The following is a 21,029-nucleotide window of genomic DNA, read 5'->3' as shown; positions in this document are numbered from 1 at the left end:
AAGAAACCCAGTGGGCAAATCCAGACTTGTGGTGATGGATTACAGGTCAGCCTCACTGTTCAGGCCTCACAACCAGCCCAAGAGGCTGAAGCAGATGTGTCATCATTTTGTAAAGCTGGGAAAACTAGTTCGGATTAAATAAATTGGCAAGGTCTGGCTGGGTTAGAGAGAGGGAGGGGGGGTGGGTGGCATGGCAAAGTTATATGTGGACCCTTCTAAGGCTGCTTAGCCTTAAGCCAGTAGGGAGCTTGCCCAAGACACTGGGACTGGCAGAGAGTGACAGAGTATGGGACTGAGAAATTCAGTCAGTAGGTGAACTTGCCTTGTGAGTAACCACAGAGTGGATGTCTCCAATAGTCTTTCCTAATACATCATCAACAAAAGTCAGTAGGTAGTTATAGAGACATCATACAACACTACCCAATTCTCCCAATCTGTAATCACACACACACACAAAATACAAGCCTGGCGCTAGCACTCGATTATGCCATTAAATAATATTTAGCCGTGTAGCCATGCCAGGTCACTTTGCCACCTCACATCCTTTTCAGAGCACCTGATAAAGTCATACCACTTCCCTGCACATCATTTCTCTCCTGTGCCATTGGGCACTCAGACGAGATGATGCCTCCAGTCTCTCCTATGTCTGGCATTCTCTGATTTCACAACGGACCAGAGTAGGTCCCTCTGGGAGTTTCCTCAACCCTACAGAATGTGAATTGACAACCACGGGAGGCAGTGGCAATGCTGTCAGGATTCCCAGGGGTCACGGCGGGGAGATCGGGGCCTCAGGAGTTAGGTGATTCCTGTTGGTGTGTTGGTTCATCTTAGCTGGGATATGGTGCCTGTGGTCTCCTGACTCATTAGAGCTGGATGCCTTTTCCTGTCTTGATAATTCTTTCTGTTTCTTCATTAGATACGTAAATGCTTTCAAGTTCATGAGCCTGGAAAGAATCAAAACCTTTGAAGAACTTTTACCGAATGCCACCTCCATGTTTGATGTAAGTCGTGAAGTTAAGGTACCTAGTGCACCCCGATAGACCCCTTCTTCAGATCCCTTCCAAACACCAACGCCAGTAATGTAGTAGTTCTTGGTCAGTGAGGGTCTGGATTCAGGAGTGGCTGAAATGACAGTGTGGGGAGGACTGACAACTAGACCTAGCTGTGCAGAACTAATTTGAAAGTAGAGTTCCATGCACTCACTCCAGGACCCAAGTCCCTGCGTGGTAGGAATTTAGACCCTGAGGAAACTCCATTGTGTGTTTCTAAGCTGCTTAGCTGTCAGTGATGCAGCTTTGCTTTCAGAGTAACAGAGGAACTCCCAGCTGTGTGGGTGATGGGCTTTGTGATGTAACAGAGAGCGCGTTCCTGCAAGCAGCCTTGAGGCTGGGAGGGGTCCACCTAAGCCTTATGCTCCTTTCCCCTGAGGTTCTACAGATTGAACAGCTGTGTTCCTACCCAATCACAATGGGAGAAGCTAACCAGTATAGCCTGGCAAACAAGAGGTCTCCCAGCTCTTCTCTCTAAAGCCCTGTGATGTGGGGTTGAGGGGCTAAGGGGAGGAGAGGAGCATGGGCAGGAGCGATACTGCAGTTCTGATGTTGCAGACTCTGGGACTCACTGTGATCTCCAGATAGGCAGGTTCCTACGACCTAGGAACTGGCTAGAAATGCCAGCTCTCGGGACCTGCCCACACCCACTGAGTCAGGCTGCACCTTGGCAAGATCCCTAGGGGATTCCTGCACACATTAATGTTTAAGAAGTGCTGGTGAGGCCGGGCGCAGTGGCTCAAGCCTGTAATCCCAGCACTTTGGGAGGCCAAGGCAGGCGGATCACGAGGTCAGGAGATTGAGACCATCCTGGCTAACATGGTGAAACCCAGTCTCTACTAAAAACACAAAAAAATTAGCTGGGCGTGGTGGTGGGCTCCTGTAGTCCCAGCTACTAGGAAGGCTGAGGCAGGAGAATGGCGTGAACCCGGGAGGCGGAGGTTGCAGTGAGCCGAGATCGCGCCACTGCACTCTAGCAGCCTGGGCGACAGAGCTGGACTCCGTCTCAAAAAAAAAAGGAGTGCTGGCAATGACCTTGTCCCATAAAGGGCCTGGAAGGCCAATGACAGTGTGAAGGTGATCACCACAATCAGTGTGGCCTTGAAGCAAGCACAGTCACCCTTAAAAAAAAAAAAATCAAAAACGAAAAACCACAACCTTGTCAGACACACCAGATAAAGGGAAATATTATTTTAAATATTTTAAGCATCAAAAATAAGCTGAAGAATATAAAGGTGAAGTATATGGATATCTTGTTTGACTGCTTGGCACATTTTTTTCAAGGCCAAGGGAAAAATACTGAGCAAAACGTGAAAGAATTCTCAACCTTCACCCTCCCCACCCTAAATCAGTGGTGAATGATGACAGCTTCTTTATTTGCTTAGGTGTTTACTCGTAATTAAGGACAGGAACACTGCCCTGTAAGAGCCTTAAAGGGTGGCAGGAACAAAGCGTGGGATCCACTTAGTGGAACATGCCGTATTAACAAAGTAGTGAAGAGTCTGCAGGCAACTCACTGCCAAAAGAAACCAACAAGGAAGTCTAATTGCTGGAGACCATGACCAAGGGCTGGGGGCTGAGAATTCCATTGAGTTCAAGAAAAAAAATCGAATGATGTCTTTACGATTTCTTAGAATTTGTGTCTATGATGGCCACCACTACCATAGCATACTCATAGTCAATCGTGATCTGCCAAATTAGTTTTAGTATCTTTGTTGCAATAAATTGCATCACAGTTTACTATGGAAAATGCTAACCTGTTACTTGCCATTTCCCCTTTTGCCTAAATGTATTTACTTCATGTTCAGGAAGGGCCTCAAAGTCACTGGGGATCAGACATGATTTGCAGCGGGTCAAGTTTGTAGTGGCCAACTTAGAGAAATGCTTTGTCTCAATAGGCTGGGATTGTGGAGGGTGAGGCAGAGCCTGGATCAACAGATGTATCCCAGGATCATCCCTCAGGCTCAGCATGGACCCCCGCTGGGCCAGGCAAGAGTATAACCTTTCTCCTTCTCCCCCTAGGACTACCAGGGCGACAGCAGCACTCTGTTGGCCTCTCCCATGCTGAAGCGCTTCACCTGGACTGACAGCAAACCCAAGGCCTCGCTCAAGATTGAGTAAGAATTGGGTATCTTTTCTGTGATCAGTTGATGGAGGGGTACGAGGGGAGATGCTGGGGGAAGGTGGTATAATGAGGGATGTTTGAGGACTACTTGCCCTCCTGAACTGTGGTATCCGGGAGTTGCAGAAAACCATTTCCCCCCAGAGGGCAAAAAAAGGGGAACATCAAACGGGACATATGAGCAGCAAGCTCTGGGGAAAACATGCAGAAAATCTTGCAAAGACAGGCAGTCCAGATGTGGCCAGCACAGTGCCTCAGGTGAAAGAAGCCTGATGTGCCCACCTATGCGTGGTGCAGACAGAGACACGCTCCCGGCGGTGGGAGAGGATGCCCCCGCTGTCACTCCCTATGCCGGCAGGGTTCATACACGAGGAGACACAGTACTGTTTTCCGGGGCTAAGACCTGTACCCTGAGAGCTCAGCCCCTACAGATGAATGACTTTCCCATTTCATCCTGGCACCCTTTTCTCACTTGACAATTTCTCCACAAAGCCCTGGCTTGTAGTCCACCAGCTCCTCCCTCCACGCCGTGGCCACCACTGGGGAGTCCTTGCCTTATGCACCACCGAATGCCACTGCAGCTTCTCTGTGCGAGTCTCTACCTTGCAATGGTGCTGGACTGGGAAAAGCTGCACCTGTCGGATGTTCCTTCCTTTCCTCATTCAAATGCCTGTCCCTGTCTCACCCGAAGGCAGAACCTTTTCCTCTTTCACCTAAATCCGGGGTAGGCAGCCATTTTTTTAAAGGGCTAGATAGTCAGCAAATGCTCCCTACTGCCATTAGCAGGGGTGTCCAATCTTTTGACTTCCCTGGGCCACAATGGAAGAATAATTATCTTGGGTCACACATGAAATACACGGACACTGACAATCGCTGGTAAGCTAAAAAAGTTGCAAAAAAATCTCAGAATGTTTTAAGAAAGTTTACGAGTTTGTGTTGGGCTGCACTCAAAGCCATCCTGGGATTCATGCAGCCCGTGGGCCACAAGTTGGGCAAGCTTGCATTATAGTATAAAAAGCAACCGTAGACAATACATCATCAAGTAGGCATGGCTCTGTTCCCACACACTGTATTTACAGAAACAGGTGGGCATGGCCAGTGAGTACACGAAAAGATGCTCAACATCATCAGTCATTAGGGAAATACAAATCAAGACTACCATGAGGGGCTGGGTGTGGTGGCTCATGCAGTAGTCTCAACACTTTGGGAGGCTGAGGTGGGTGGATCACTTGAGCCCGGGAGCAACATGGCAAAACCCTTTCTCTACTAAAACTACAGAAATTAGCCGGGGTGTGCTGGCATGTGCCTGTAGTCCCAGCTACTTGGGAGGCTGGGGTGGGAGGATCACTTGAGCTTGGGAGGTTGAGGCTGCAGTGAGCCACAATTGCACCACTACACTCTAGCCTGGGTGACAGAGGGAGAAAAAAGGGAAAGAAATTACCATAAGATACCACTTTACGCCCATGAGGATAGCTAGATGAAGTCAGTGTGGCGAGGATATGGAGAAATTGGAACCCTCATACACTGCTGGTGGAAATGTAAAATGGGGCAGTCACTTTGGAAAACAGTTTAGCTGTTGCCCATAAGGTTAAACAGTTATCCCGAGACTCAGCAATTCAACTCCTAGGCATATACTCAAGAGAAATGAAAACTGATGTCCACAGCAAAACTTGCACACAGATGTTCATAGCAGCATTATTCATGATAGCCAAAAGTAGAAACAACCTAAATATCCATCAGTTGATGACTCAATGAATAAAGTATGGTATATCCACACAATATAATATTGTCAATAAAAAGTGTGAAGTATGCATGCATGCTACAATATGGATGAACCTTGAAAATATTATGCTAAGTAAAAGAAGCCAGTCATAAAATATTTCCTATTGCATGATTCCTTTTACATGAAATGCCCAGAATTGGTAAATCTAGAGACAGAAAGTAGACCAGTAGTTTCCTTGGGCTGGGGCTGGAGGGCGTGAGGAAGAAAGACTGCTAACAGGTGTGCGTTTTGGGGGATGATGACAACGCTCTAAAGTTGATTATGGTGATGGTTGCACAATTTGTGTCTATACAAAAAACCATTGGCTTACACATTTTAAATAGGCGAATTATGCACTATGTAAATTATATCTCCATAAAGCTCTCATTAAAAAAAAAAACACCAGACAGGTGGGCAGATATGGGTTATAGTTTTTGAACCCTGATCTAAATCAAAGGATGGCAACAAGTGCCTCCAAGTGATGTAGTTAGCACAACTCATCGGCCACAAGTAAATGGGAAAGACAGGGGCATTTCCAGGCAAACATCTGCGTGTGTGTTTCCTTTTCACATGAGCACAGTGGTATTAGAATTGAGTTACAGTAGATCAGAGGCACCAATGAGGAATGAATGGATCAAAGGGGAAGGTAGGATACTTGCTCTTTTGTTTCCTACTTTGGAACACTTCAGAAAATGGGTGGTGACTAATTTTATCTAGATATTTGTTAAAGAAGACCATAAATTGTATCCTCTACTCTGAGACTGAAAATATAGAACATGGACACGTTAGTCCAGACCGGTCTAAAACAAGCTTCACGGGTTCCCTGCCTCATCCCAGATCCTTTGAAAATAAAAAATTTGAACGAATATTAAAGGGCAAGAGCAGCGCTTCTTCCTCAGGTGTCTGTCCTAGTCTGGATGTAACACAGAGGACCCAGAAGCAAGTTTCTCCACCCTTGAGCCTTGCTGGTGATAAGCAGCACCGTGACTAAAACGTTTCCTCTTCTAGAACACAGGCACGACAGGCAGAGAGGCACTCACTTGTGTGTGTGGAGCTTTATTGTTTTTTGAGACTGTTGTAACAAGTTACCACTAACTTGGCAACTTACAAGAGAAATTTATTCTCTTGCAGTTCTGGAGGCCAGAAGGGATATAAAATATGAAAAATTTGAATATTTTGGAGGGTAGGAGGCATTTCTCAGCCTACCACAGAAGCTGTTTGACCCAAGAATAGGAGAGGGCTGCACCCAAGTCTTGGAGTTACTTTCCACCTGGATTATGGATTTGCGTTATCTTATCATACATTTCATACCCTCCCCCAGCCACTGTCTTTCTGCCCAATGACACCAAGCTGTTAAGAGGGAGGCCGTGTGCAGCTTTAGAACAGAGGAAATCTGACAGCAATTGAGGGGGGGGGGGTTCCAAAACCATGAACTCTAGACAGGTATGAACAAATGACCCACTCAGAAAGAGTAGATTTTAGTGTCTTTGTTTTCTAAAAAACCAATTTTGAATATTTGATTTCTTTCCTTTCTTTCTTTAGCTTGAGAGTAACCAGTAAAAGTAAGGAGTCGGGGCTGTCTGATGTCAGCAGGCCCAGTTTCTGCCATTCCAGCTGTGGGCACGTCAGCGAAGGCAAGCGCAGGTTCACCTACGACCACGCTGAGCTGGAAAGGAAAATCGCGTGCTGCTCCCCGCCCCCAGACTACAACTCGGTGGTCCTGTACTCCACCCCACCCATCTAGAGTTTGACACGAAGCCTTATTTCTAGAAGCACATGTGTATTTATACCCCCAGGAAACTAGCTTTTGCCAGTATTATGCATATATAAGTTTACACCTTTATCTTTCCATGGGAGCCAGCTGCTTTTTGTGATTTTTTTAATAGTGCTTTTTTTTTTTTGACTAACAAGAATGTAACTCCAGATAGAGAAATAGTGACAAGTGAAGAACACTACTGCTAAATCCTCATGTTACTCAGTGTTAGAGAAATCCTTCCTAAACCCAATGACTTCCCTGCTCCAACCCCCGCCACCTCAGGGCACGCAGGACCAGTTTGATTGAGGAGCTGCACTGATCACCCAATGCATCACGTACCCCACTGGGCCAGCCCTGCAGCCCAAAACCCAGGGCAACAAGCCCGTTAGCCCCAGGGATCACTGGCTGGCCTGAGCAACATCTCGGGAGTCCTCTAGCAGGCCTAAGACATGTGAGGAGGAAAAGGAAAAAAAGCAAAAAGCAAGGGAGAAAAGAGAAACCGGGAGAAGGCATGAGAAAGAATTTGAGACGCACCATGTGGGCACGGAGGGGGACGGGGCTCAGCAATGCCATTTCAGTGGCTTCCCAGCTCTGACCCTTCTACATTTGAGGGCCCAGCCAGGAGCAGATGGACAGCGATGAGGGGACATTTTCTGGATTCTGGGAGGCAAGAAAAGGACAAATATCTTTTTTGGAACTAAAGCAAATTTTAGAACTTTACCTATGGAAGTGGTTCTATGTCCATTCTCATTCGTGGCATGTTTTGATTTGTAGCACTGAGGGTGGCACTCAACTCTGAGCCCATACTTTTGGCTCCTCTAGTAAGATGCACTGAAAACTTAGCCAGAGTTAGGTTGTCTCCAGGCCATGATGGCCTTACACTGAAAATGTCACATTCTATTTTGGGTATTAATATATAGTCCAGACACTTAACTCAATTTCTTGGTATTATTCTGTTTTGCACAGTTAGTTGTGAAAGAAAGCTGAGAAGAATGAAAATGCAGTCCTGAGGAGAGGAGTTTTCTCCATATCAAAACGAGGGCTGATGGAGGAAAAAGGTCAATAAGGTCAAGGGAAAACCCCGTCTCTATACCAACCAAACCAATTCACCAACACAGTTGGGACCCAAAACACAGGAAGTCAGTCACGTTTCCTTTTCATTTAATGGGGATTCCACTATCTCACACTAATCTGAAAGGATGTGGAAGAGCATTAGCTGGCGCATATTAAGCACTTTAAGCTCCTTGAGTAAAAAGGTGGTATGTAATTTATGCAAGGTATTTCTCCAGTTGGGACTCAGGATATTAGTTAATGAGCCATCACTAGAAGAAAAGCCCATTTTCAACTGCTTTGAAACTTGCCTGGGGTCTGAGCATGATGGGAATAGGGAGACAGGGTAGGAAAGGGCGCCTACTCTTCAGGGTCTAAAGATCAAGTGGGCCTTGGATCGCTAAGCTGGCTCTGTTTGATGCTATTTATGCAAGTTAGGGTCTATGTATTTATGATGTCTGCACCTTCTGCAGCCAGTCAGAAGCTGGAGAGGCAACAGTGGATTGCTGCTTCTTGGGGAGAAGAGTATGCTTCCTTTTATCCATGTAATTTAACTGTAGAACCTGAGCTCTAAGTAACCGAAGAATGTATGCCTCTGTTCTTATGTGCCACATCCTTGTTTAAAGGCTCTCTGTATGAAGAGATGGGACCGTCATCAGCACATTCCCTAGTGAGCCTACTGGCTCCTGGCAGCGGCTTTTGTGGAAGACTCACTAGCCAGAAGAGAGGAGTGGGACAGTCCTCTCCACCAAGATCTAAATCCAAACAAAAGCAGGCTAGAGCCAGAAGAGAGGACAAATCTTTGTTCTTCCTCTTCTTTACATACGCAAACCACCTGTGACAGCTGGCAATTTTATAAATCAGGTAACTGGAAGGAGGTTAAACACAGAAAAAAGAAGACCTCAGTCAATTCTCTACTTTTTTTTTTTTTTCCAAATCAGATAATAGCCCAGCAAATAGTGATAACAAATAAAACCTTAGCTATTCATGTCTTGATTTCAATAATTAATTCTTAATCATTAAGAGACCATAATAAATACTCCTTTTCAAGAGAAAAGCAAAACCATTAGAATTGTTACTCAGCTCCTTCAAACTCAGGTTTGTAGCATACATGAGTCCATCCATCAGTCAAAGAATGGTTCCATCTGGAGTCTTAATGTAGAAAGAAAAATGGAGACTTGTAATAATGAGCTAGTTACAAAGTGCTTGTTCATTAAAATAGCACTGAAAATTGAAACATGAATTAACTGATAATATTCCAATCATTTGCCATTTATGACAAAAATGGTTGGCACTAACAAAGAACGAGCACTTCCTTTCAGAGTTTCTGAGATAATGTACGTGGAACAGTCTGGGTGGAATGGGGCTGAAACCATGTGCAAGTCTGTGTCTTGTCAGTCCAAGAAGTGACACCGAGATGTTAATTTTAGGGACCCGTGCCTTGTTTCCTAGCCCACAAGAATGCAAACATCAAACAGATACTCGCTAGCCTCATTTAAATTGATTAAAGGAGGAGTGCATCTTTGGCCGACAGTGGTGTAACTGTATGTGTGTGTGTGTGTGTGTGTGTGTGTGTGTGTGTGGGTGTATGTGTGTTTTGTGCATAACTATTTAAGGAAACTGGAATTTTAAAGTTACTTTTATACAAACCAAGAATATATGCTACAGATATAAGACAGACATGGTTTGGTCCTATATTTCTAGTCATGATGAATGTATTTTGTATACCATCTTCATATAATAAACTTCCAAAAACACATATATTTTCTCCCTGATTTGCTTGTTAAGTGTAAAAAAGAGGTCACAGGTGTCCCTGGGGGTGGAGGACTAGTGCTCTTTATTAAACACAGCACAAGAAAGATAAAGCAAATGCTGCTGAAGAGAGGGCAAAGAGGTTTCTATCGGTCCTAGAAAATGGCTGTGCTAAACAATCAGAACACTGCAACCAGTAAGTAAAAAACAAAATCAAACTAGGCAGATTGCCCAGAAAACTAAACCCTAACATCAACAGGATCATGAAACAAGTAAAGCATATGCTGGGTGTGAGTGCCAGCCGCAGAGAAAAGTGCCCTCAATTAAAAAGAGGCAGTTGTCCCCAAACACTAATTTTCAGCTGATAAATAATTAGCATAATCACAGAGGGTGTGTACACATGCTGCAGAAAACCACACAAAATAATAGGCAAAAGCTTGAAACCCAAGAATGTAAAAGTACACATGCCAGCTCTGTATTCTTCAATCTTGTTTTGTGGATTATGTCCTAGGAAAACAACTCAGGTCACTAAGTACTAGAAATTGAATAAGTGACCAACACTTTGTCTTAGAAATTGGTCATAGTATTACCCGCCTAATATCATCATAAGGAAACTAGATTGGAAAGATATTTTAAGGGGAAAAAATAGGCCTACTTTCTTTGGGACAAAGACAATAAAAATGGATAAATGACAAATCTCAGTACACTTTTAGTTAACTCAAGAGGGCAAGAGGCATTTTGTCTTCAAGAATCTGAAATCCTTTAAAAAGTATTATGGGTTTCATAACATAAGAATAAAATCATTCATTCAGGCAAATGACTTGAAGAATGCTTGAGGAATCAATGTCACGTCAGTTTAGAAATGTTCTCATGGCTCTGGAAACTTATAGTACATTTGGGAATTAATTTTTATTCTTTCCTCCAGCAGAAGTATGGCCTAGTAAGGTTTATTGGACTCCTCAGTGTTAAACATATTACCAGACTTTTGGGTTTCACAGGCCAGGAAATTAAAAAAAAAAATCCTTGATCCCAACACAGGGATGGCCATTCTTCTATTCTGCGAGCTAAGAACACTTGAGGGAGGGGGAAAAAAAAAACCCAAAATCCAACCAGATGCTACTAATGTTCTATTTCCTGATCCGGGTGGTAGTGCATAGGTATGCTCACCTTATGATGAGTCACTGAGCTGCACACTTACTTGTGAATGTGTGTGTATATATATGAATGTATGTACACAATTCTTCAATGCAATATTACTAAAAGAAGAAAAAAACCCCTGCCATTTAGTACCACTACTTTTCATAGGAGAAAACCCATTTTAAAAGGTGGAAGGGCTTAATCTCAGACTAAAATATATTTGTTTTGAAACATACCTATATTATCCTTCTTTTTCCCATTTTCATTTGTACTAGAATAAACTAATGAACACATGTTGTTCCACAGATTGGTATTTGGGAAGCAGTGATAGCTAGTAATTGCTATCATTGCTATCATTTGAGTACCCAATATGTGCCAGCAACTATTTAAAGTGCTTTAAAGGAACACACTTATTTTCAAGGCAATCTAACATGATAGGTACTATTAGTATATCCTTTACTTCAATGGGAAAATTAAAGAACTCCAAGACCCCACTTGTCACATCTCCCCACCTCCAAGCTTATGTCCCCATATACTGTGCTTGCCCTTCTAGACAGCCAACCCAAAACACACTGGTGTCCCTCTGAGACTTGAATTGCTTTAGCAATTCTCCACCGCCCCCCACCATCAATTTTCCCCTTTTCCACTGGAACATACATGTTATTTCTCCCATCTTACAAAATTTTCATCTGTACTTTCTCCTCCAGCTACCACCCAATTTCTCTATTTCCCTTTACAGCAAAATCCCATGAGCGAGTTGGTTATTAGTTATTATTACTTGTTTCCAACTCCTCTCCTCCCACTCACTCTTAAACCCACTCAAGCCTAGCTTTCACGATCACTCACTGAAACTGCTTTTGCTAAGGTCACCAGTGACTCCATATTGATAAATCCAATGGCTAACTCTCAGTCCCATTCTTATTTGACACTTCAGCAGCTTGACACTTATTCGCAAAAACAACTTCAGTTTGGTTCCAGGACATGATACTTTCTTCTTCCCATCTCATAGGCTACCTGTCTCTTTTGCTGGTTTTACCTCTTTTCCCTGACTTTTGAACATTGCTCTAGTTACCCCAGGGCTTGCCCTTGAAGCTTTCTTTTCTCAGTCTATACCAACTTCCTTCATGATCTCAACCAATCTCAGGGCTTTCAATGACACCCATATGATGACTTTCATGGACAGAAGAGATTCTTCCTGCCCGCTGCAACACTCTAAACTCATATATACACAAGTGCTAACCTGACATCTCCCCTTGATGCTCTAGCAGACTGTATTTTTTTCAAATACAGGTGTATTTTTCAAAGATATTGTACTGTATTTTTCAAAAATATTCTATTTTTCAAAGACAGCTGCAAGATTATCTCCCATCTCACACGACCTTTGGCACACGACCTTTGGCAATGTCCCCTCCCCTAGAATCAGAGCTAGCTTTAGGACTCACTTGTGATCAATGCAATGTGAAAGAAGGGACACTGCATGGCTTGGAGGCCAGGTCAGAAAAGATCATGCACTTCCTGAGTCTTGGTACACTCACTCTTCAACAGTTCCCGCCAGGGACCCAGCAGCCATACTTGGAGAAACCTAAGCCACATGGAGGCCATGTGAAGGTGCTCCCATAGACAGCAGCCAGCTGAGTCCAGCCCGCAAGTCACTCCAGCCCCCATCCATTGGAATTTCCCAGCGGAGGCCCAATCACAATGGCATAGAGACAAGCCTCCCTGCTGTGTCTTGCCCAGATTCCTGACCCACAGAATCCTTGAATGTAATAAAATGCTTGTTTTATGCCATTAAGGGTGGAGTTGTTACAAAGCAAATAACCAGAACAAATGTGTACTAAACATCTCAAACTTAATGGGCCTTAGACCAAACTCCCAAATTGTCTTTTCCTGTTTCTCCATCCTCCCCTGCCCTGTAGACTCTTTGTTCTTACAACAGTCTCTTCCAATTCAGCAGAATCCTCTATCCTGTGAGCATCAAGCCAAAGGAAATATTTTTTGAGACAGGGTCTTACTTTGTCGCTCAGGCTGGAGTGCAATGGCTCCATCTCGGTGCACTGCAGCCTTGACCTCCTGGGCTCAATCAATCCTCCCACCTCAGCCCCCTGAGTAGCTGGGGCTACAGGTGCGTGACACCATGCCTGGCTGATTTTACTTTTTGTAGAGACAAGGTCTCACTATGTTGCCCAGGCCTGTCTCAAAACTCTGGGCTCCGGTGATCTGCGCACCTTGGCCTCCCAAGTGTCGGGATTACAGGCATGAACCACTGCACCTGGCCAGCAAGCCAAAATCTTAAGAGTCATTCCTGACTTCTCTCTTCTTTGTCCGCATCCAGTGAATCAGGACATCCCTGATGGCTCTACCTTTAAAACCTTATTTGAAGTCCAGCCACTCTGCACCACCTCTACTGCTACCACCCTAGTCCAGGTGTTTTTTTTTTTTTTTTTTTTTTGACAGTCTCGCTCTTGTCAGACCAGCTCTGTTGGCCAGGCTGGTCTTGGAACTCCTGACTTCAGGTGATCCACTTGCCTCGGCCTCCCAAAGTGCCGGGGTTACAGCTGTGAGACACCGTGCTCAGTCGCAGGTGGGTTTTAAAACTCAAAGATGGCTGGGCGCTTTGGCTCATGCCTGTAATCCCAGCACTTTCAGAGGCCAAGACAGGCAGATCACCTGAGGTCAGGAGTTTGAGACCAGCCTGGCCAACATGGTGAAACCCCGTATCTACAAAAAATATAAAAATTAGCCAGGTATGGTGACGGATGCCTGTAATCCCAGCTACTCGGGAGGCTGAGGCAGGAGAATCGCTTGAACCCAGGAGGCAGAGGTTGCAGTGAGCCAAGATCGTGCCACTGCACTCCAGCCTGGACGATGGAGTGAGACTCCGTCTCAAACAAAACAAAAAAACCCAACAAAACTCAAAAGACATGGGTTTTAAAATCCAACATCCTTCACTTGGGATGCTGTCAGTTTCCCACCATGTCAACAGCTCACTTCCTCCCTCAGTCTGTTCACGTCGTAGCCAGAGTGATCCTTTTTAAATGTCTTATCATGTTACTCTTCTGCTGAAAATCCTCCTGCAGCTTCCTTTTTCTTTTGAGACAGAGTCTTGCTCTGATGCTCAGGCTGGAGTACAGTGGTGCGATCTAGGCTCACTGCAAGCTCTGCCTCCTGGGTTCACGCCATTCTCCTTCCTCAGCCTCCCGAGTAGCTGGGACTACAGGCGCCTGCCACCACGCCTGGATAATTTTTTTATTTTTGATAGAGAGGGGGTTTCAACATGTTAGCCAGGATGGTCTCGATCTCCTGACCTCGTGATCTGCCCACCTCAGCCTCCCAAAGTGCTGGGATTACAGGCGTGAGCCACTGCGCCCGGCACGGCTTCCTCTTTTGAGGGTAAAAGCCAAAATACTTAAAATGGTCCACAGGACACACCCCTTCCCTATAGACCTTTCTGACGTCACTTCCTACTTAACTTGGCTCTAGCCACATTCGCTCCCCTGCTGTTCCGCAAAGGCTCTGAAACATTCCCTTACCTGGAATACTTTACCACCAGACATACACATGGCAGACCCCTTATGCTTTCTCGTGAGTAGTCTTCTCTCCTAAACTACATTGTTAGTCATGTATTGTATTAAGATGTTTGGGTATAACTATACATTCTGTAAATACCAAGTCCCTGTATCTGTCTTAGTGCCTAGAACAGATCCAAGGACACAGTAGATAAGACTTAAGGACTACCTGATAAATTAATGAATAAATCTGCTGCCATTTCATCCAAATACAAAAATTCCTCCAAAATACAGAGGAAATAACCAATCTTTTAAAATCCAATCATAAGATAATCATCATCTTGTTATATGAACACGTGCAAGAAAAGGACAAATTTATCTCTGTAATTCTTTATTAAAAATACTGCTGTACACATAGAGACTGAAAACAGGATTAAAGATGAATAACACAAATTGGGTCATGACATTAGAACCTAACACACTGGTGCTTTTTAGGGAAGTTGTTGACATCCAAATCACAGAACCAAGGTCAAAAGCAAAATACAAAGGTACCCTCAAAAATATTTACAATGAAGTAAATACACTAACAGAATTTAAAACAGGTACAAAATATTGAAATGACCAACGTTACATGATTTCAAGGGTTGTCCTTTCTGTGCTTTTATCTGTCACGACAGGAAGGTGTGGAAAGTTTATATCCTTAATTTGACTACTCTTGGATATTAAAATCTTTCTATTAATTAAAAAGACTTTTAGACAACCTCTTAAATGGAATTACACTATGGAAAACAGGGCTCCCCCAAAAACACCTAGGCAGAACTGAGAGTTCTTTGAAAACCATTCCCAATAAAAACTAAATGAAAAATAAATATAAAACAAAGCTTAAAAAAATATGCATTACCTGACACCAACCTTTTCTGGCTGACAATATTTATTCATGAAAACATATCAGCTGTCTACCTTTTATATGCAAACCAAGTCCTGAGGTTAACTAGGGGCTGAAGCAAACTAGCATTTAGGATGCAAACATTCTTGGATTTGTGATGTAAACTTGCCTTGCACAGGGAAGTTTGCTGGTCTATACAGAATGAGAAATTCAAGCCCTATTTTAACCCCTGCCCTCTTTAGCTTTCACAAAACATTGGTCCACAAATTAAATTTTCAAAAAGTTCCCAGACCCCAAAACTAAAATAGATGATCCCCTTTCATTTTCAAAGAAAACAATATTGGAAAAAATCTCCAGCCCGCTTATAAATTAAGCATTTCATATTTCTTCTAGAATACAAGTAGTTCTTTTTTGTACAAAAGAATACAATATGATTTGTCAAAAAACATATAAAAAGACAGCTGCTCTTCCTCAAATACATGAGCTAATGATAAAAGACTTTTTCATGTTAATGTCTCCAAGTTCTTCTTTTTACATAAAAAAGAACATTATGGTGGCAAATGTGAATTATCCTTTTAATATTGAACATTATATTCTTTTAAAATCCATCCAGATCAAATGCAATAATTTTCTTTTTAACTCAACAACTGATGCTACCAAACGTGGACTCAATATACTTGTTAAAACGTGTAAAGCGTGTCTCTAGTCTTCAAAGCTTTCAGGTGAAGAGAGGTGCTTTTTCTTGATGCAAATCTCAAGGCAGAGAAAATCATTTTAAAGCTTATAAAAAGTGGACAGAGAAATATTAAAAACTTCTCTGAAATATACAAATATGTGTAATTATTAAAATTGAAGACAGTAACATCAGTTGCAAGTGCTTGGAAGTCTGTCCTGACCTTTTGAGTTTCCACATTTTCTTCAGTTGCATGGTGAGCACCCAGTGCTAGTAAAACATTCAGTGCTGGGAAAGGAGATATAGTCTTCATTACTGTTTTTTAAGAAAGAAAATTCCTATGTATTTGGCAGTCTTCAGTATCAAAGTATAGGTATTTCATTTACTAGAAATTCCATGAATACCCAAGTTTGGCGACAACTGCATGTCCAAATATTAAGAAAGTTAAGAGGAGGAAAATCCCAAACTTTTGAGATGGACTTATTCAGGAATATCGCACAGAGTGAGTTATTATCAAAAGTACTATTACTTTGGGCTAAGCAGTGACTGCAAAGGCACAGCAGATCGTTATCCCTCCAAATTCAGGCTGTAAAACATCAGAAAGCTCTTGATACCAGACCACTGCTGAGTTTAGTTCATCTTCTGAACAGTGTCTCTGTGTCTGTCTCCAGTGTAAAGGACCATAATAAAGCTGTGGTTCAAAGAGCAAAACTTCATAAACCTCCCCCCCGCCCAAAAAAAAAAAAAAAAAAAAAAAAAAAAACCAGCAAACTGGAAAGAACCTAAAGTAATACACTCCTGAACTTTAGGCCTTTAACACAATTTCTTAATTTTCTCCTATTTAAAAAATTTGCATAAATGTAAATGTATCTGACTAGCAGGCAAATGTCTTTTTAAAAAGGCTCTAGTTGAATTTGAAGGAAAGAGCTATACATGCTCCTTCAGTTACTGTTTATCTGATCTTTATTCAGAAAGGATTTAAATCAACTAACAGGGAATTCATATCCAACAATTCACTGGTATTTTCTTGGTATGTTCTTAAGAACAAAACAAAACAAAAATCTCAATTTGAACTAACAGTGGGTGGCATACAGAGAGCTTGCATACGATACTCTTACAAGAATTACGTACTATACTGAACTTCTATGAAATTATTTACCTGGTCCGTAATGTTATTCAGGGCAACCCATCCCAAAAAGAGCAAATTCTGCAACCCTCAATGGCAAAAACGCTGCCCAGCATTGCTTCCCAAAAATGTCCTTGCAAAGTTTCCCATTATAAGTATACAATGTGGCAAAAGTTCAAAGATCAGAAAAAGTCTTTAAAAAATTAAAATTAGTGCATATACAAGTGGAAAAAACAAAAGCAGGAACATCATTCACCTGATGGTGCTCCTAAATCTAAAATAAATTCTTCACAGATAACAGCCTCCAATGGCAGCCATAGCTCTTGGGTAAGTGAAACATTCTTCCTTTCAAGTAACAGTGTACCTGACTGAAGTGCAAGCAGCTTTGCTCATCTCCTGTTCGTTTCCCAAATGTGAATGAGATGATGAAAAGTTCAGCTGTAGTGCAATTTGCTATTGGTTAAGGTCTTTAGCCATGTCCTGCGTGCTTTTTTAGCAAATACTACAACTGACCATTTGCAGCTGCAATCAGTTCTTGAAAAGTATTTTCAAAGCAGCGCTTTAAGTCACTGTAGGTCACCACAAGTACACTCTTCTCATCTCTGGAAATCAGGCTTATTTTTTCTGGCACACCAGCATCTAGCTGAAACAATATATACACAAAATATGAAATTCATAACATGCAGAAAAGAATTTATCTACGTTTGCAGCAAAAATAAATAAAATATCTAAATTTTTTTTGTCACATTCCCTTTCAGATATCCATGAGTACATTTATATCATTCATCAGTATGCACATAATTTTCGACTCAGACATTTTTACACAAACACTGCCCTATGTTTCTATCCCTTCACGCTTAACGTTTGTTTGTATTATAGTTTACCCAGTTGATGCTCCATAATTTTTCTCCCAGTATCTTCCATTTTTGGCATAATAAATTACAGTGCAATGAACATACTCATCTACTTAATTTTTTTCTTCTGTGGGAAGTACTTTTTCCTTAGGAAAAATACTTAGAAGTATAAATATTAATAATAAAATGTAAAGTATTAAGAAATTGGTTTTTAAAAAATTTTAAAAAAACACAAAAAAGTAAAGTAGAAGTGGTTTTATAGCTTAGTACATAGAACCAAATTGTTTTCCAATCAGACACCATGAATTTATAAGTTTTTATTTTTATTTATTTAATTTTTGGGGATGGAGTTTCGCTCGTTGCCCAGGGTGGAGTGCAATGGCGCAATCTTGGCTCACTGCAACCTCTGCCTCCCGGGTTCAAGCAATTCTCCTGCCTCAACCTCCCGAGTAGCTGGGATTATAGGCACCTGCCACCACGCCCAGCTAATATTTTGTATTTTAAGTAGAGACGGGGTTTCGCCATGTTGGCCAGGCTGGTCTCGAACTCCTGACCTCAGGCGATCCACCCGCCTCGGCCTCCCAAAGTACTGGGATTACAGGTGTGAGCCACCGTGCCCAGCCTAATTTATAAGATTTTAATACTTTTCCAGCAACCCCACAGCAAATGAGCACCTTGCTATTTAAATTTAGATTTTAACTACTATTATCAAAGTTTTTTCATACATTTACTTTTGGTATTTCTGCTTGTGTAAATGCTAGTATATGATCTTTACTCATGACCCTAATGGAATTTGGCAGTAATATTTTAGTGAGGTCTTTGTAAAGCATAAATACTGATCCTTAGTCTATCAACTTGTCTTGTTATGGTTTTCACTTTATTTTTGTTATTTTCAATGTACTTTATTTCATTAATTGATACATAATTCATTAAAATATGTTTACAACTCACTGAAGGCTCAAACATTCAAATCATTTACCAGACAATTTCTGTCATTATTTCTACCAAAATAAGCTTATATAAAATCTTAATTTTGTATAATCAATCTGGCCATCCTTCCCTTTTAATTTATCACACTCTTTTCAAACTTAGAATATTGTCACACTTCAGATTTGGGGTATTATTTACTACTAGCTAGTTCATGATGTGAAACAGAATTTTCTTCAAATTTTCAATTATCCTAATATTCATTAAATGATCTTTGATGAATTTAATATTATCCTAATATTCATTAAATGATCTTTGCTTAAGGCAACTGTCCATGGCTTATTCCATATTACCTACTTGTCAATGTTTGTTCTGGTTCTACGTATTTTTAACTACTGGTACTCTGATACTATGCTCTAAAATCTGACAGAATTATTTTCTACATATTGCTCTCAAGAAAAGGTTTTTCCCCTAACATAAATAAAGGGAAAATAAATATATAACTCATACTGAATTAGTTCAATGATACATATAGTCTTGTGCAGTCTTTTTTCTTTTTTTGATACAGAGTTTTGCTCTTGTTGCCCAGGCTGGAGTACAATGGCACAATCTCGGCTCACTGCAACCTCTGCCTCCTGGGGTTCAAATGATTCTCCTGCCTCAGCCTCCGAAGTAGCTGGGATTACAGGCATGTACCACCACGCCCGGCTAATTTTGTATTTTTAGTAGAGATGGGGTTTCTCCACATTGGCCAGGCTGGTCTCAAACTCCCGACCTCAGGTGATCCGTGCACCTGGGCCTCCCAAAGTGCTGGGATTACAGGCGTGAGACACCGAGCCTGGCCAGTTTTGTGCAGTCTTAATGTAGGTTATTGACAATACTCCTTATAGAGTTTTAAGGAAGTTAAAGGAAGGCAAAGTAGTGCTTAAAAACAAACCGTAACATTTTCCCTGAAAGGTTACCACACTGTACATTAATAGTTCTAAATCATGTGCTACAGTAGATATTTTTTCCTCTAGTACTTATAATTTAGGAAAGTTTAGACCAAGAGTCAGTAAATGTTTTCTATAAAGGGTCAGACGGTAAATGTTTTAGGTTTGGCTTATTGTTTATTTTACAACTCTTTAAAAATGTAAAACTATTCGAGGCTCTCACGCTTTAAAAAAATAGGCCATAGAACGGATTTGGCCTGCAGGCCATGGCTTACCAGCTCCTGGTTTATACATAAACCTATACAGAGACTACATTTACTCCTGGAGACCAGTTCTAAACTTCATAATGCCAAGTAATTCATAAGGGAACTGTCTTCTTTCTTTTCTCTGTAAATTTTGTCTTTCCCAATCTTTTCTTTCTTTTTTTTTTGAGACGGAGTCTCGCTCTATCGGCCAGACTGGAGTGCAGTGGCCCAATCTCGGCTCACTGCAAACTCCGCCTCCCGGGTTCACGCCATTCTCCTGTCTCAGCCTCCCGAGTAGCTGGGACTACTGGTGCCTGTCACCATGCCCGGCTAACTTTTTTAATTTTTTAGTAGGGACGGGGTTTCACCGTGTTAGCCAGGATGGTCTCGATCTCCTGACCTCGTGATCCGCCCGCCGTGGCCTCCCAAAGTGCTGGGATTACAGGCGCGAGCTACTGCGCCTAGCCTTTTCCCAACCTTTTCTAAAACATAATGCTGCTGGGCGTGGTGGCTCACGGCTATTATCCCAACACTTTGGGGGTGGGTGGACTGCTTAATCTCAGGAGTTTGGGACCAGCCTGAGCAACATGGTGAAATCCCGTATCGACCAAAAGGACAAAAATTAGCTGGGTGTGGTGGCGTGTGCCTGTGGTCCCAGCTATTCAGGAGACTGAGGTGGGAAGGAGGACCACTGCAGCCCTGGGGAGTCAAGGCTGCAGTGAGCCATAAGTGCGACTGCACTATAGCCTGGGTGACAGATCAAAACCCCGTTCCAAAAAAAAGCTCACCTCACCTCTCAAATAAATTTATGATCTATTTTTTATCTACTTAATTCATCTAATCATCAAATTCACCATTTATAACAGCTGGACCTGCTAGTAACTGATGTCACTAGTATTGTGCTTTTATTATTTACTACTTGATTATAAAACCTAGAGTTAGGCCGGGTGCGGTGGCTCATGCCTGTAATCCCAGCACTTTGGGAGGCTGAGGCGGGTGGATCACGAGGTCAGGAGATCGAGACCATCCTGGCTAACATGGTGAAATCCTGTCTCTACTAAAAATACAAAAAATTAGCCGGGCATGGTGGTGGGTGCCTGTAGTCCCAGCTACTTGGGAGGCTGAGGCAGGAGAATGGCGTGAACCCGGGAGGCGGAGCTTGCAGTGAGCCTAGATGGCGCCACTGCACTCCAGCCTGGGTGACAGAGACTCCGTCTCAAAAAAAAAAAAAAAAAAAATCTATAGTTAATAA

At 42.4% G+C, this 21,029-nt stretch overlaps 2 protein-coding genes across 11 annotated transcripts in view, besides 3 other annotated features; one reads left to right on the top strand and one right to left on the bottom strand.

Moving 5' to 3' along the window:
- FLT1 (fms related receptor tyrosine kinase 1) overlaps positions 1-9,498 on the top strand; it is a 194,783-nt gene extending 185,285 nt beyond the window's left edge. The window contains exons 28-30 of the mRNA NM_002019.4: positions 917-1,001; positions 3,072-3,166; positions 6,476-9,498. Of these exons, the coding sequence (NP_002010.2) occupies positions 917-1,001; positions 3,072-3,166; positions 6,476-6,677 (382 nt within the window). The 3' untranslated portion in view covers positions 6,678-9,498. The remainder of the gene's footprint in view (positions 1-916; positions 1,002-3,071; positions 3,167-6,475) is intronic.
- Positions 13,372-13,530: a silencer, noted in NCBI's record as "fragment chr13:28870451-28870609 (GRCh37/hg19 assembly coordinates)". NCBI's record gives its function as "represses an EF-1alpha promoter that drives an FKBP-Casp9 reporter gene in an ReSE screen in K562 erythroleukemia cells {active_cell/tissue: K562}" and the evidence as "EXISTENCE:reporter gene assay evidence [ECO:0000049][PMID:32094911]".
- PAN3 (poly(A) specific ribonuclease subunit PAN3) overlaps positions 14,509-21,029 on the bottom strand; it is a 157,143-nt gene continuing 150,622 nt past the window's right edge. For all 10 annotated transcript variants that reach the window (XM_011535034.4, NM_175854.8, XM_011535032.4 and 7 more), the window contains one exon: positions 14,509-17,462. In XM_011535034.4, coding sequence (XP_011533336.1) covers positions 17,322-17,462 — 141 coding nt within the window. In that variant the 3' untranslated portion in view covers positions 14,509-17,321. The remainder of the gene's footprint in view (positions 17,463-21,029) is intronic.
- Positions 19,789-20,288: an enhancer, noted in NCBI's record as "H3K4me1 hESC enhancer chr13:28863693-28864192 (GRCh37/hg19 assembly coordinates)". NCBI's record gives its function as "activates a minimal SCP1, AML or CMV promoter by ChIP-STARR-seq in naive H9 embryonic stem cells {active_cell/tissue: H9 hESC(naive)}" and the evidence as "EXISTENCE:reporter gene assay evidence [ECO:0000049][PMID:30033119]".
- Positions 20,289-20,790: an enhancer, noted in NCBI's record as "H3K4me1 hESC enhancer chr13:28863191-28863692 (GRCh37/hg19 assembly coordinates)". NCBI's record gives its function as "activates a minimal SCP1, AML or CMV promoter by ChIP-STARR-seq in naive H9 embryonic stem cells {active_cell/tissue: H9 hESC(naive)}" and the evidence as "EXISTENCE:reporter gene assay evidence [ECO:0000049][PMID:30033119]".

The sequence above is a fragment of the Homo sapiens genome, chromosome 13 (genome assembly GCF_000001405.40).
Source record: "Homo sapiens chromosome 13, GRCh38.p14 Primary Assembly".
In the NCBI taxonomy this organism is placed as follows: domain Eukaryota; kingdom Metazoa; phylum Chordata; class Mammalia; order Primates; family Hominidae; genus Homo; species Homo sapiens.
The sequence above is the reverse complement of the archived record's forward strand: the minus strand, read 5'-3'. Positions and strand labels throughout refer to the sequence as shown.